The following is a 15,842-nucleotide window of genomic DNA, read 5'->3' as shown; positions in this document are numbered from 1 at the left end:
CCATTTAGTGTGCTGGTGTCCTGCTCTCCCCACCCTGTGCCCGTCAACTCTGCCCTCTTCCCTATTTTAGCATTTCCATCCATGCCCTTCAAGCCCTCTGACCACGTAACCACAACGTCTCTCTCCCCTGCTGTTCCAGGAAGGTTCAGATACAGGTTGCCTGAGTTCCTGGACCCTCGTGGCACCAGGGACAAGAGCTAGTTAAACCTTGCCAGCTAAAAGGTTCCAGAAAGTCAATCCGTGGCAACTCACATTCCACACAGGCATCTCACCGAGTCTTACTCAGTAAAACCCAAACACCCATTTTTGTTGAGACTTTGACGAGCCCTGAAACCACTGAGGGCCGGGCTTGCCTCGGCACACGTCTGAAATATGTCAGGCAGGTGTTTCCAAAGAACTTATGCTACAGGAAAATATATCCTGATGTAATCTGACTAATTTGGCTTTTGCCTTACTTTCAAGAGAACTGGCTATTTGTAATGGAAACAGTGCTCGGGACACTTCAGACGGGGCTTTGTAATGTGAGCTGGTAAAACCCTGCAGGTGCTACGGGGGCCCCTGTTTTCATTTTACGTCTCACTTTTGTTTATTTAATGTGTTTCTCTGGGAGGAAAAAAAAAGAGACCCGGGAGGGGTTTAACAAGTCATTTTTCATTTCAAAAAAAAAAAAAAAGAAATGGTTTTGTATTAAGAAAATTAGAATCGAGCGGGACCGCAGGAGCCCTGCGGGCGACAGGAAGCACACGTGGCCTGGGAGGATATGTTTCTTGAGACTAATTCCCCAAAGACGCGTGTTCAGGATCCGACATACCTGGGGCCCTTGGCAGAGGCATCAATTAGAGAGTGGGAAGCAGTGTTTTCCTTGCTAATTCTTGGCTACCGAATAGGGGTTACTGAAAGCTCCCTTTTCCCCCCTTGGAGTTAGGCAGTTTTGAAAAATTGTAAAATTATGAATTCGACTTTGTTTCCAATCAAGGGAGGGGGAAATGGTTTCCAGGGTGCAAAGCCCGTGTGCTGGGGGGAGAGTGCTATGTTTCACCCTCCGATGACAGAGCACCCACGGCCGGCTCAGGGGCACTTGCCCTGCCAAGGTGGGGGCGCCCCCAAACAGGAGGTAGGTGGGGTGAGGGTGGGGGGTGAGGGGTTGTGGAGATGCTGCTGCAGCACCTGTGCTAGTGAGCGGATTCTAGTTAGAAAGGACAGGAGGGAAATGAGACCAGCCCTGACTGTCCCTCAAGATTCATTTCATGCAGGTTGAGGGCAGTGGGTAGCAGTCATCGGCAGAGAAAACATGATGTATTTGTCACCTATGGCTGTCCTGTGCCCTGGAGATTGGATTCAATGAGATTCAAATCCCGGTTCTCTGCCCTCAATGGTGGTTCAGTGCTTGTACCACCCCGTGCCAGGTCCTGGGCAAGTGTTTTCACTCGTCCCTCTTTCTCTTGGTCCTTGTGTTTCCAAGAGCTGCCTTGGGACTGGCTCATGTCAGTCTGTGCAGGAAGCTCAGCCCGTTTACCACTTTCCACAGGAAAATCTGCCCCCAAGCACATCATGAGTTTAGGACCATTACTGATGATTGGTGAGGGCACAGGAAGCTACTGCACCACAAACCATTGTCTTCTCCTACCTTGCCGGTCTATCTGGACCTCCCTGGCCTTCCTCTGCCTTCTCCTTTCTCTGGAAGTTGCTCCTTTTCTTCTATGAGAGCGTGCCATCCTTGCATATTCAGGTCCCCATGGGGACTCACTTCCCCCCAACAAATACATTTGCCTTCCTAAGGAGAGTTCTGATGAATACAATGTTCTACATATACATAACTGTATCCATTTGTGTTTTGCAGAGCATTGAAATCATATAGCAGCATCATCCAGACCTGCAGAATCATACGTGATCATAGCCAGTTCACACTGAAAAAAGCCTTGTAGGAGATTCGCCAACCTAATCATTCAGCTTACAGGTCAGGAAACAGATGCCCCGACAAGGCAAGGGACTTGCCGAAGGTCACCTTGAAGTTGTGGTGGAGTTGGACTAAGACCAAACCCCCTGACTCCTGCCCCAGCACTCTGCTGCAAGACTCCTTCCCCAAATTCTTTCTTTCCTTTCTTTTCTTGATTTTCTTTTCTTTCTATCCTTCCTTCCTTCCTTCCTTCCTTCCTTCCTCCCTCCCTCCCTCCCTCCCTTCCTTCCTTTCTTTCTTTCTTTTCCTTTTCTTTTCTTTTTTGAGACAGAGTTTTTTGCTCTTGTTGCCCAGGCTGCAGTGCAATGGCACAATCTTGGCTCACTGCAGCCTCCACCTCCCAGGTTCAAGCAATTCTCCTGCCTCAGCCTCCCGAGTAGCTGGAATTACAGGCACCTGACACCACGCCTGGCTAATTTTTTGTATTTTTAGTAGAGACGGGGTTTCACCATGTTGGCCAGTCTGGTCTTGAACTCCTGGCCTCAGGTGATCCGCCTGCCTCTGCCTCCCAAAGTGCTGGGATTACAGACATTAGCCACCGCGCCGGGACCCGAATTCTTTAAAGACTGCTTTCAGGAAGGGACCTGAGTGCTGTACAGGCACATCCATCCGATGCTATGTCCTGCGGGCTCTGCCACCTACATTTCTTCCTCTCCTTTTCCACTGCCTTGGTGCCGGGAGGCGTCCGGGAGAGGAGAGAGAGTGACATAGTTTAATCTGCAGTCATTGCAGCTGGCTTGTTGGAAAAAATTAAGATAAAGCGAAAGAATATCTTTGAAAATGATAACACTCAGTATTTGGGAGGGTTAGTAGAGACACACCTCTTATACACTGCTGGTGAGAATCAGTACAATTTTACTCCAAAGTAATTTGGCAATATGTATGATGAATTTGAATAATATTCATATGCTCTGTTTTGCCAAACTGTTTTTTTTTTTTGAGATGGAGCTTCGCTATTGTTGCTCAGGCTGGAGTGCAATGGCACAATCTTGGCTCACTGCAACCTCCGTCTCCCAGGTTCAAGTGATTCTTCTACCTCAGCCTCCCGAGTATCTGGGATTACAGGTGTGCCCCACCACACCCAGCTAATTTTTTGTATTTAGTAGAGACAGAGTTTCACCATGTTGGTCAGGCTGGTCTCAAACTCCTGACTGCAGGTGATCCACCTGCCTCGGCCTCCCAAAGTGCTGGGATTTCAGATGTGAGCCACTGCGCCTCTGTTTTGCCAAACTTTTAAACTGAAGTTTAATATGATGCAGCTACATGCATGAGCTTTCACTGAAGTGCATGATGAAGTTTTACAAACTGAGCTATGCACCCATCATACAGATCAAGATATAGGATATTACCAGCATCCCAAAGCCTCTCTTGCACTCTCTCCTGATCATTACTTCCAAACAGTATCCAACACCCCAGATTTTATGACTATAGATAGACGTTTGTCTGACTTTGAATTTCATATGAATGGAAGCACAGAGAATGTACTCTTCAGCGTCTGACTTCTTGCAGTGAACATCATGTCTGTGAGATTTCTCTGTTTTCACATGTATTTTTTCTTTTTCATCGCCAGATAGTATTCCATTACAGGAATGAATATAATACTATTTATTTATCTATTCTACTATTGAGGACATTTGAACGGTTTCTAGTTCTTAGGTAGTAGGAATAATGCTGCTATGATATTTTTGGTCATGACTTTTCGTACACACATATATATGCATTTCTTTTCTTTTAAATTTTATTTTACTCTAAGTTCTGGGATACATGTGCAGAACATGCAGGTTTGTTACACAGGTATACATGTGCCATGGTGGTTTGCTGCACCCATCAACCCATCATCTAGGTTTGAACCCCTGCATGGATTAGGTATCTGTCCTAATGCTCTCCCTCCTTTAGCCCCCCATTCCCCGACAGGCCCCACTGTGTGATGTTCCCCTCCCTGTGTCCATGTGTTCTCATTGTTCAACTCTCACTTATGAGTGAGAACATGCGTGTACATGCATTTCTGGGAGGATACATTTGGGGTGAAATTTTGGGTCATGAAGTGCCTGTGTTCAGCTTTAGTAGGTACTGCCAACAGCTTTTCAAAGCAATTGTAGCAATTTATGCTGCCACAGAAATATCTGAGAGTTCTAGTAACTCTGCATCCTTGCAAAATTTGATGTCAGGTTAAAATAGTTAAACATACTCACTGTAGTGCTGATACCTCATTGTGGCTTTAATTAGCCATTCACGGACAGCTAATTGGCCATTTGGATATGCCCTTTTGTGGAGTGCCTGTTCACATTTTGGCCTTTTTGAGAGATGTCTGTCCTTTTCTTATTGGTTTGTAGGAGTTCTGTATATGGACACTATTCAGGTTCTTAAATAGGTGCATGGATGGCACATACCTTCTCCCATCCTGTTTGCCTTTTCACTCTCTTAATGATGTCTTGATGAATAACAATTCTTAATTTTTAAATGGTTGAATTCATCAATCTTTTCCTTTATGATTAATGTTCTTTGTGTTTTGTTTAAGAAATCTTTGTCTATCCATGGTCATAACTATACTCCTATGTTTTATTCCAGAAGCTTTATTGTTTTACTTTTTACATTTAGATCTATCATTCACCTGGAATAGAATTTTAAGAGTCAGTGCCCATATTTTCCCTAAGGTTGTACAACTGATCTAGCAACATTTATTGACAAGACTGTTCTCTCCCCAACTGCTTTGTAGTGGTGCCTTTGCCATAAGGCAGGTGCCTGGATAGGTTTGGGTCTGATCATATTTGTTATTCATGTCATTCAAATCTCACATCCTTATTATTTGTGTAAGTTTGTTATTCATGTCATTCAAATCTCACATCCTTATTATTTGTGTATTTATTTGTGTTATCAGTTAACTGTGACACATGTGTTGAAACATCCCACTATGATTATGGAATCCATTATTTCTCCTTTTAGTTCTTACAGTGTTTGAAGCCATATTATTAAGCTCATTGGCATTTAGGATCCTTATGTATTCCTGTTGAACTGACCCCTCTATAATTATGAATTGTTATTCTTTCTTTTTAAAAGATGGGGTCTTGCTGTGTTGCCCAGGCTGGGCTACAGTGGCATGATCATAGCTCCCTGCAGCCTCAAACTCCTGGGCTCATGTGACCCTCCTGTCTCAGCCTCCCTCAGCCTCCCAAGTAGCTAAGACAACAGGTGCATACCACCGTGCCTGGCCTGAATTGTCATTCTTTATGTCTTATAATACTTTTGGTTTTAATGTCGATTTCATCTGATAGGAGAGCTATACCTGCTTTTAAAAATTTCTACCTACTTATCTGCTTTTTTAGTATTTTAATGAATATATTTTTCCATCCTTTTACTTTCAACCTTTCTGGGTCTTTGTATCTCTTGTAAGCAACGTACCTTTAAAAATGCAGATTAACAGCCAGGCACAGTGGCTCATGCCTGTAATCCCAGCACTTTGGGAGGCCGAGGTGGGCAGATCACAAGGTCAGGAGATCGAGACCATCCTGGCTAACACGGTGAAACCCCGTCTCTACTAAAAATACAAAAATTAGCCAGGCATGGTGGCAAGCACCTGTAGTCCCAGCTACTCGGGAGGCTGAGGCGGGAGAATGGCGTGAACCCTGGAGGCAGAGCTTGCAGTGAGCCGAGATCACGCCACTGCACTCCATCCAGCCTGGATGACAGAGCAAGACTCTGTCTCAAAAAAAAAAAAAAAAAAAAAAAATGCACATTAACAATCTTTCTGTTTTAATTGGAGTACTTAGTCCATTTTCAGTTTTTGGCTTTTATGAGTATAGTTTCAATGAATAGTCTTATATAAGACTTTCTGTGGGTAAATGGTTTTTTTCTTGGGCAAATATATGGAAGTGAAATATTTGAGTCATAGGGTTGGTGTATTACTTTACTGTGTTAATTTTTTTTTGTTTTGAGACAGCATCTCACTCTGTTGCTCAGGCTGGAGTGCAGTGGTGTAACTGTGGTTCACTGCAGCCTCAACTTCCTGGGCTCAAACAATCCTCCTGCCTCAGCCTCTCGAGTAGCTGAGACTACAGGTGCATAGCACTACTCATAGCTAATTTATTTTTTGTAGACAGAGGGTCTCACTATGTTGCCCAGGCTGGTCTCAAACTCCTGGGTTCAAGCAATCCTCCCACCTTAGCCCCTAAAGTGTTGGGATTACAGGCAAGAGCGGCTGTGCCTGGCCTATTTTATTGTTTTTAACTAATGTTATTCAGGTATGACTTGCATATAATAAAGAGGAGACTTAAGTTGTACAGTTTGATGAATTTCAATAAATGTATACACTGATGTAACCCACAACCTAAATCAAGAGCTAGAGTATTTCTATTATACCAAAAAGTTTCCTTGTATACCTCCCCCAAGACATTGACTTAATTTCTATCATCATAATTTAGCTTTGCCTGGAATCACACAGCAAATCCTTTTTTTTTTTTGAGGCAGAGTCTCACTCTGTCGCCCAGGCTGGAGTGCAATGGTATGATCTCAGCTCACTGCAACTTCCGCTTCCTGGGTTCAAGCGAGTCTCCTGCCTAGGCCTCCCCAATAGCTGAGATTACAGGCATGCACCACCACACCCAGTTAATTTTTGTATTGTTAGCACAGATGGGGTTTCACCATGTTGGCCAGGCTGGTGTCAAACTCCTGACCTCAGGTGATCTGTCTGCCTCAGCTTCCCAAAGTGTTGGGATTACAGGCCTGAGCCACTGTGCCTTGCCTAAGTACTCTTTAGTCTTGCTTATTTCATGCAACACAATGCTTTTGAGACTCATTCATGCTGTTGTATGTTTCAGTAGTTCATTTAAAAAACGTCTGTATACAGTATTCTATTGTAGGTATATACCACAATTTATTTATGGACATTTGAGTTGTTTCCAGTTATTGTCTTTTATGAATAAAGCTGTTATGACCATTTTTGTGCATTTTTGCTTTGGCGGCCACTAGTTTTCCTTTCTTTTGGGTAAATACTTGGAAGTGGAATCGCTAGGACATAGCATAGGTGTATATTTATAATAAACTGCCAAGCTGATTTCCAAAGTGAGTTGTACAGTTTTATTTTATTTATTTATTTTTTTTTTTTATTTTTTGAGACAGAGTCTCACTCTGTCACCCAGGCTGGAGTGCAGTGGCGCAATCTCGGCTCACTGCAAGCTCTGCCTCCTGGGTTCAAGCGATTCTCCTGCCTCAGCCTCCCGAGTAGCTGAGACTACAGGCAAGCGCCACCACGCCCAGCTAATTTTTGTATTTTTAGTAGAGATGGGGTTTCACCATGTTGGCCAGGCTGGTCTCGAACTCTCAACCTCAAGTGATCTGCCCACCTTGGCCTCCCGAAGTGAAGTTGCACAATGTTAGGATCCCACCAGCGTGTATGACATTTTCAGTGCTCTGTCTTCCTTGCCAACATGTGATATTGCCGTACCATCTCATTATGATTTTAGCTTGCATGTCCCGGATGAGCAGTGATGTTGAGCACCTTTCTCGTGCTTATTGTCCATTCTTGTATCTTCTTCTTAAGTGTCTTTTCCAACTTATGGCACATTTAAAACAACTGAGTGGTCTGTTCTTTTCTTATTGATTTGTAGGAATTCCTTGTACATTCTGGATGTAAGTCTTCTGTCAGATACATGTATGATGAATAGTTTCTCCCAATCAACAGTGTGCCTTTCATGTTCTTAATGTGTTTGCTAATATTAGGGAAGAGTTGTTTAGAAGAAAAGGACCTCCTAAATGCCCAGCAGTGTTATGCAGGACATGGAGAAAATACTTAGGACATACTGCTGGATTCAAAAAGGAGAAAATACAAAGTTGTACTTGCAATTATGACTTTAACTCTTGCAAAATATGCATTGAAAAAAACTGGAGGAAAATATGTAAAATATTGCTTTGACTGACCGTGGGTAGTGAGGTCATGGTCCCCTGCTACTTAAAAAAATTACAGTAAAATACACGTAACATAAAATTCACAATTTTTGCCTATTTATTTATTTATTTATTTATTTTTTCTGATGGAGTTTTGCTCTTTTTGCCCAGGCTAGAGTGCAATGGCGTGATCTCGACTCACTGCAACTTCTGCCTCCCTGGTTCAAGCGATTCTCCTGCCTCAGTCTCCTGAATAGCTGGGATTACAGGCACCCGCCACCACGCCCAGCTAATTTTTTGTATTTTCAGTAGAGATGGGGTTTCTCCATGTTGGCCAGGCTGATCTCGAACTCCTGACCTCTGGTGATCCACCTGTCTTGGCCTCCCAACGTGCTGGGATTACAGGCATGAGCCACTGCGCCATTTTAAAGTAGACAATTCGGTGGCATTATCTACATCTCCACCACTGTGCAGCCATCACCGCTATCTAATTACAGAACATTTTCATCGCCCCAACCAGAAACCCTGTACCCATTAAGCAGTCTCTCCTTTCCCTCCTTCCAGCAGCCCCTGGCAACCACCAATATGATATCAGTTTCTATTCTCTTGCTATTTGAAAAACATACACTTTTCTGCTTTATTTTTTTCCTGGATTTTTGTTAATAAGTATGTGTTTTGATATGTGAAATAAAGCAGAAACCAAGAGCCACAAAGAATGAACAAGTAAGTTACATGGCATTGAGTGCTGAGCTGTATGTCAGAGGGGGGAGGCGGCGGAACTCATTTTGTGACGACAGCTAACATGTGCTCAGCTCTGACACTGCCTGCACGACTCCTCTAGCGTGTATCTCACAACCACCCTAGCAGGCAGGTTCTGCTATTATGCACCATACTACACATGGTGCAGAATCTCTTCCCAGATCTCAGGGAGTCCTGTTTTGTCTGACTCCCCCACCACTCTGGGAACTCTCATGTGGGCAGAGACCATGTTGGTTCTTCTCTCCAAAATATTGCTACTGTCCAGTACAGCCCCAGTTCATCCTTGTGTTCATCAAGAGTTGCTGAATGGATGTATGCACGTGTGCAAGACAAACTCCCCTCACCAGAGTTCTTAGCCCACAGCTCATCATCTCCTACTGATCGCTTTGCTGATCCCTCTCTACAGCATGACTGGCCACATCCAAGACACGACTTGGCTGGTGCGCTAGAGCAGAAAGAGCGAGAAGGGGTCTCTAGGTGCAGCCTTGAGTCACAGGCAGGCTGGGAGGAAGTGGGAGCTCAAGGACCAGCGACCGTGTCTTGAGCTGTGAGAAAATATCTGAACGGTAGATTCATTAGGTCCCTCCTGGCTTTAATGACCAGGGCAGCAAGAGAGAAGTAATAACGAGTGACATTTATATAGTGTGTTACGGTTTACATAGCTCTTGCATGCACATTACCTCATTTAATCCGGAAGGAGCACAGGGCGGGGTTGAAGCTCGTGGCCCTGGAGTTTGCCTGTCTGGGTTTGCATCCTGGCTCCAGCACTTACTGTGTGACCCTGGACTATTTAGGCATCCTGCATCCCTGTTCCCTTATGTGTATGATGAAGGCACTGACAGTAACTGTCTCATCATCACACATCAAATCATCACAGACTTGCTGTGGTGATTAAATAAGGTAATGCCCCTAAAGCACTTAGAATAGCACCTGGAGCATAGTAAACACTAAATAAAAGTTGGTGCTTATTACACAATCCTCTCAATAGGCCCGGGAGATGTATAGACATATCCCGTTTTATGGGCGAGCAGAATGGGACTCAGAAGGGTAGAGTCCACCTGTCTGAGGTCACATGGTGGAGAAGCAGGGGTGAGGGGCAGGGCTAGCACCAGGTCTGTTTGACCCCCAAAGCCTGGTTCTTTCAACTTCTTCATGCCACCTCCACTGATGTGCACTTTGTCTAGGCTCAAAGGCAGGAGAAGCTGTAGCAGGCTCATGCACCAGGGTATTTAAAAAAAGATCACTTGTCTAGATGAACTAAGGTCTCAGTGAGGTAGTACAGCTGAGAATGCACTTTCTACTCCACCAGCCTATGATGAAAATGTAAATAATTATCGTTGAAATGTTAACAACGTATTTTAATTTTTTTCCTAGCATTTAATTGTCCCCTTTCCGGGACAGCACTCCAGTATCCCTAGGAAGGCCACAGCTCCTCCACTCTGTCAGTGCTTCCATAGAGCTGACTCTATCCTTGGCTGGAGGGATGGGCAGAGGACACAGGTCTGGCCAATCAGAGCAGTGCGTCCCCTCAGCCACAAGGACTAGCTCAGGAATGGGCATGTGACGCAGTCTGACAGACAAGGCCCAATTGCAGAACTTTGGTCACAGCCATTGGGGAAGAGGCATTTCCTTCCTTCTGGCCAGGCTTGGCAGATATGATATCATAGCCTGGCACTTCTGAAGCCACCCTGCCTCACAGTGGGGTTGGCCTGCCTGAGAATGGGGCCAGCCCAGAGGCAAGCCGAGTTGAGAGGTGGAGAGATAAAGTCCATGTCCCCGAATTTTACTGAGCCTGGGACTAGATCTATCTTTTTTTCTATTATGCTGTCTTGTCCTAAGCATCTGCTAGGTTTCCACACTTGGCTTTATGGTCAATACACCTTCTTAATATCCCAACAGCTGCTCAGAGGAGGTGGGAGTAGCTTTATAGGACAGAGGAGGAAACAAAGGCTTTGAGGTAGGAAGTGACTTGGCCCAAGCGCACAGGGACTCCAGACCCTTTCTGCAAAGGGCACAGCCCCTGTACTAAGAAGGCGAACTCAGCGTCTGGATGAAGCCCTTGCCTTCTGTCGTCCCCTGCCCTCAGGCAGGGATGCATTCTCTCATGGGAATGTCACAACAGAAAGAATTTGGGTGCTCCAGGAAACGTGTATTCTTTGGCTCCATCCCTCATCCCCCTCAATTGTCCTCCTGACAGCCAGATTGGAGCCAAACTGGATTTATTGAATTTCACAACTTTGTTGAACCAATTTGTGGATTAAGAAAACAAAAATGAAATCCACATTTTTATTTGACACCATCAAAAATAGGACACACAGACAGGAAAGGGACATTCTGGCCTTGGAATAGATTGAGTGGAGCCCAAATCCTTGCTTCTCAAAGGTTTTTGTTTTTGTTGTTGTTGTTTCCCATCACCCTGCTTCTCACAGGCCTTTGGGAAGCCTGTCCCCACATCTTCTCTGAGACCTGGAATCTGGACCTTATGTTGAGGCTGGGCACCCACATCTGGGATGTGATTCCTTTCTGCCCTCACCCCATCATTCTCTCTCTCCAGTTTCCCTGCGATTTCCTCTTGGCCATAGCCTGGTGTAAGTTCCAGCATTTTTGTATCGCTGTTCTAGCAGATTTTCATTTTAGTGCCAATCCAAGCGCTCTATCCCTTCCTTGAACTCTTAGTTAGGCCAATAAATATTTATGTAGCTCATTGGCAATTAATTAGGTGCCTTTGGCACTGCATCCAATGGCTTGTAAATCGACATAGAGATTTCACTTCCCCCATCTTTGCTTCTTGGCTTTCCAGCAGAAAGACAAGCTAAGAGCGGACAGGGAACGTGATTTCTACTTCTCTGTATATGCGTACCCTACACGTAGTAGCATGCAATGAATATTTATGGCCTTATAAATTTAATCGGCATATGATTACTTAACAATAAAGTGAGAACTTTTCCAGAGAGAAAAGACATCATCTTGGCTGGGCTCGATGGAGGGTAGGCTATGAGGAGCATTGATTACACTGATTTAAAGTGAGGGCTCTGAGGCCAGACAGGTTAGAATCCTGGCTCCCCACTTACTGAGCATGTGATGGTAACCGTGATGCAATCTCTCTGTGCCTCAGTTTCTACCTCATAATCTAGAAAAAGCAACAGCACTTGACCAAACCCTAAAATAGCGATGAGGGACGCATCCTCTAAACGTCAGCTATCACGATTTTATTATTTCTTCCAAATAAGCCTTATGTTCTTAAGAAATACACATGCAGACACACAGGTAGTCTTTACCACATCCAGTTTTTGTCTAGAGTATCAGATTCTTATCTTTAAAACATGAATAACCTGAATGGTTGTGGCTTTTTTCTCCTCATTATACACCTTAAAGGAAGAAAAAAGGAGCTGATCAAAACCAATAAAAAAATACAAACAAAAGAAAAATCTGGAATAAACCAATGTAAGCAAAATAGGAGAACCTGAGGGAGTATGAGGAAGGTTGCCCAATATGCCCATGAAGTAAAAGAGAGATGGGGGAGATGGCCACCAATTAAAATTAATTAAACATTTTTAATGATCTCTGATGCTGACCTCATGCTCCAGGTGCCTGAAACAAAGAAAAGAAATGCAGATAATTGGATCTTCATGACATTTTCCCAACTGGCCACTTTCCCTGTAACAAGACCAAGCCTGTCTCTTCCATTGTACTCTCGTGAGCTACCTGGGTCAGAACCTGAAATCTTGGCGCAGAAGTCCTGTGGCCTGGTGAGTAGCTGTCTAGACCCAACTCCCTGGCTGGGTGGATTAAACTTACTGCACCCTGAGTCTCTGGGTTTCTTGCCAGCTCCAGCCTAGCAGTGTATGCCAAACCTCTGTTTCTCACCTGGAAAACTGCAGTGCTTGCTAAGTGGTCTTGTTTGTTATCCTCTGAAATCACCTTGTCTTGACTTTTCTACTTGTTTTTTATCTGTTTCCCCCATTAGCCTATAAACTTCTCATTCCCGGCAGCTGGCACATGCATGGCCCAATAAATATTTCTTGATTGAATGGAAGGAGCTGTGAATAGTGGCCTCCTCAAGCAAAGGACATTTTATCTCCCAAAGGGAAATCTACTTTGTTGATATGAAAGTGAGCTTCTTAATAGGTCTACGGGGCAACATTTTGCTAACCCCATTCAAATTATAACAGACTTCAAAGTCATAAAGGCAGTAATATGCTTCCTTTTAAGTGTGTAATTTGTATTTTTTTACACCCAGGAATGGAAAACAGGGAGTGAAATATCCCCCAATTATTATTTTGTGCTTTTGAGGCAGGATGGCCCACTCACCTGTGGGGACTCTGGTGGCCAAGCACCTCCCACCTCATTCTTGGCAATTGTTTTCATCTGCCTCCCTTCACACTGGCCCTAGCTCAGGTCTGGAATCTTCCCAGGGTCTGACCTCTGAGTGTCTGTCTCATGCAATTCTGCTGCCCTGGTATTGACTCTCAGGACACAGAAGTATACTCTCTGCCACATTCATGACCACCCTGGGTGACGTGTCAAGGCATCTTAGTGCAGCCCTGAGTCCCTTGGAGGGAAATGGCCCCAGTCTGCTTCCTGTTTGAGGTAGCTCTGTTCTGGATCACTTGGTCCTCCCCTCTCCCTCCTGCCACTGCTGATTGCATTGTGGTGATCACCCCAAGGTCATCCCAAAGGCAGGCTGCCGTGTAGAGCCTGGCTTGGCACAGGAGGCCCCAGCCAATGATCTCTGATGCTGACCTCATGCTCCAGGTGCCTGAAACAAAGAAAAGAAATGCAGATAATTGGATCTTCATGACAATTTCCCAACTGGCCACTTTCCCTGTAACAAGACCAAGCCTGTCTCTTCCATATGGGTCAGCCATATCCCACCCACTCCTCCTGGGATTTGACTTGGGGAATGTGGACAGAATCACACAGTCAGTAGAAGTTGGAAAGTAGGCGGAAGTGGCCACATGGGGTAGGGACATATCAGAGTTATGATGAATCAGAAGCAGAAGCCCCAAGTTGAAGAAGAGATACAAAGCTTGGAAGCAGGAAGAGATGGAGCGGACACACAAAGGAATCCAACACTGGAGAACGGCAACGTAAAGGTGGCGTGCTAGGGGAAAGCTCCAGAATTCCTGCAGCTGGGCGCTGGAGCCACCCTGAACTTTCAAAGACCTCCCTATTCCAGTCTCCACAATCCCAGGTCCTGGTATGTCCCTGGATTTGGGGGGAGATTCTGGCTCCTTTGTAGCACCACAATAAACCCTTATTGCCTGAGTTATCCCAAGTGACTCCCTGTTCTTTATGGGCTCACAAGCCAACACACCAAAAGTAGCCACCATCAATGGGTTGGGGGCCCACACCAGCACTGGGGGGGGACAGGGGAGGTTCCAAATAGCTAGCTCCTCTCAAAGGTTCTAATACCCGCAGAGGTGGTTTAACTCCTCAAAGGTCTAAGCTCCATTTTCTTTTCTTTTCTTTTCTTTTTTTTTTGAGGCAGAGTCTCACTCTGTCACCGAGGCTGGAGTGCAATGGCAAGATCTCAGCTCACTGCAACCTCTGCCTCCCAGGTTCAAGAGAGTCTCCTGCCTCAGCCTCCCAAGTAGCTGGGACTATAGGCATGTGCTATGATGCCTGGCTATTTTTTGTATTTTTAGTAGAGATGGGGTTTCACCATGTTGGCCAGGCTGGTCTCGAACTTCTGACCTCAAGTCATCTGCCCACCTTGGCCTCCCAAAGTGTTGGGATTACAGGTGGGAGCCACTGCGCCTGGCCTCATTTTCTTTTTTTTTAAAATGTATCCCCCAATTTTGTATACATATATAAAATATATATTTTATGAATATATTTATAAATGTATCATATACAATATAAACATATAAGTATATATAATATATAAATATAATATAAACATACATAACTACTCTATGGCAATATGTAACTATAAATGCAAGCAAATATCAATCAGACCTTTCCCGTAGAACTCTTGGTGAAATAGCTGGAAATGTGAAAAAATAGATTCTGGTCCCAACCTCCTGCCAAATATTCAAAGTGGAAAATTGGGATCATAATTTGCAAAGACTTTTTCCATCCCAAATGGCAATTGATTAATCCCTCCTGGCAAACAAATTGCTGTGCCATCCCCTGTAAGTCAGATGTCCTCTGAGATTAGTGTAATTGAAACCCTCATCACTATCCAAAGATTTGAGGTGGTTCTAATAATTGGTACATGTATAATAGCTCCATCAGAATAGAAAACAAAAAAGTCATAGAAAGGGGAAAATAAATAACCCAAAACAATGAGGCTGATAAAATTCCAGTAACAAACAACTATAAGTTTCCTGGAGGTAATAGGAAAAAGGGGAAGTCCTAGATAAAAAATGATCATTGTTTAATCAAAATAAAGTAATCAAAAGAGAAGGGTTTTCTTTTGGGACTGTTTTTAAAAATTAATTCAATCATAATTTCATCATAATGATACTGTTATTTTTGCTTATATACATATATTCCAGTTCTTGTCTGCATGCAAAATAGAAATTTGTTTTTAAAAAATATTTGAATAAGCAAAACATTCACATAGTTTGAAAACAAGAAAGTATGAAAAATATATGCTGAAAAGTTTCCTCCCATCCTTGTTACACATCTCCCAGTTTCAAATCCCCTCACTCCCAGGCAGGCTTGTATCCTTCTAGAGTTTTTATGCATATTTAATAACGTCATTATCATCATCAATATCAACAACAAAATATATATTTTTATCTTCTGCTCCCTTTTTGCACCTTAATTTTTTTTTTTTTTTTGAGACGGAGTCTCACTCTGTCACCTAGGCTGGAATGCAGTGGCACAATCTCAGCTCATTGCAGCCCCTGCCTCCTGGGTTCAAGCAATTCTCCTGCCTCAGCCTCCCTAGTAATTGGGATTACAGGTGCATGCCACCATGCTGGGCTAATTTTTTGTAATTTTGGTAGAGACGGGGTTTCACCATGTTGGCCAGGCTGGTCTCGAACTCCTGACCTCAAGTGATTCGCCTGTCTTGGACTCCCAAAGTGCTGGGATTACAGGTGTGAGCCACTGTGCCTGGCCTATACCTTAATTTTTTTCACTTAACTACATATCTTTCAGGCTTTCCCATTTTAGCAGAAGGAAAGTATCAGTCCATGTGGGCAGTTAAAATACCTTAGACTGCATAATTTGTAAATATAGACATTTATTACTCACAGTTCTGGAGGCTTGGAAGTCCAAGATCAAGGCACCA

General features: G+C 44.1%; 1 long non-coding RNA gene across 4 annotated transcripts in view, besides 1 other annotated feature; it reads left to right on the top strand.

Moving 5' to 3' along the window:
- Positions 1-13,868, top strand: part of LOC105377725 (uncharacterized) — a 41,656-nt gene extending 27,788 nt beyond the window's left edge. For 2 of the 4 annotated variants that reach the window (XR_007059049.1, XR_007059051.1), the window contains exons 2-3: positions 1,841-1,957; positions 11,026-13,868. This is a non-coding gene — a long non-coding RNA (uncharacterized LOC105377725). The remainder of the gene's footprint in view (positions 1-1,840; positions 1,958-11,025) is intronic. The other 2 variants (XR_001742985.3, XR_007059050.1) reach the window with 2 other exon arrangements.
- Positions 11,936-13,135: an enhancer, noted in NCBI's record as "BRD4-independent group 4 enhancer chr5:171221789-171222988 (GRCh37/hg19 assembly coordinates)". NCBI's record gives its function as "activates an origin of replication core promoter dependent on BRD2, P300/CBP, MED14 and CDK7 cofactors, and independent of BRD4, by STARR-seq in HCT116 cells {active_cell/tissue: HCT116}" and the evidence as "EXISTENCE:reporter gene assay evidence [ECO:0000049][PMID:35650434]".
- Positions 13,869-15,842: the final 1,974 nt, after the last annotated feature.

This window comes from Homo sapiens, chromosome 5 (assembly GCF_000001405.40).
Source record: "Homo sapiens chromosome 5, GRCh38.p14 Primary Assembly".
In the NCBI taxonomy this organism is placed as follows: Eukaryota; Metazoa; Chordata; class Mammalia; order Primates; family Hominidae; genus Homo; species Homo sapiens.
The sequence above is the reverse complement of the archived record's forward strand: the minus strand, read 5'-3'. Positions and strand labels throughout refer to the sequence as shown.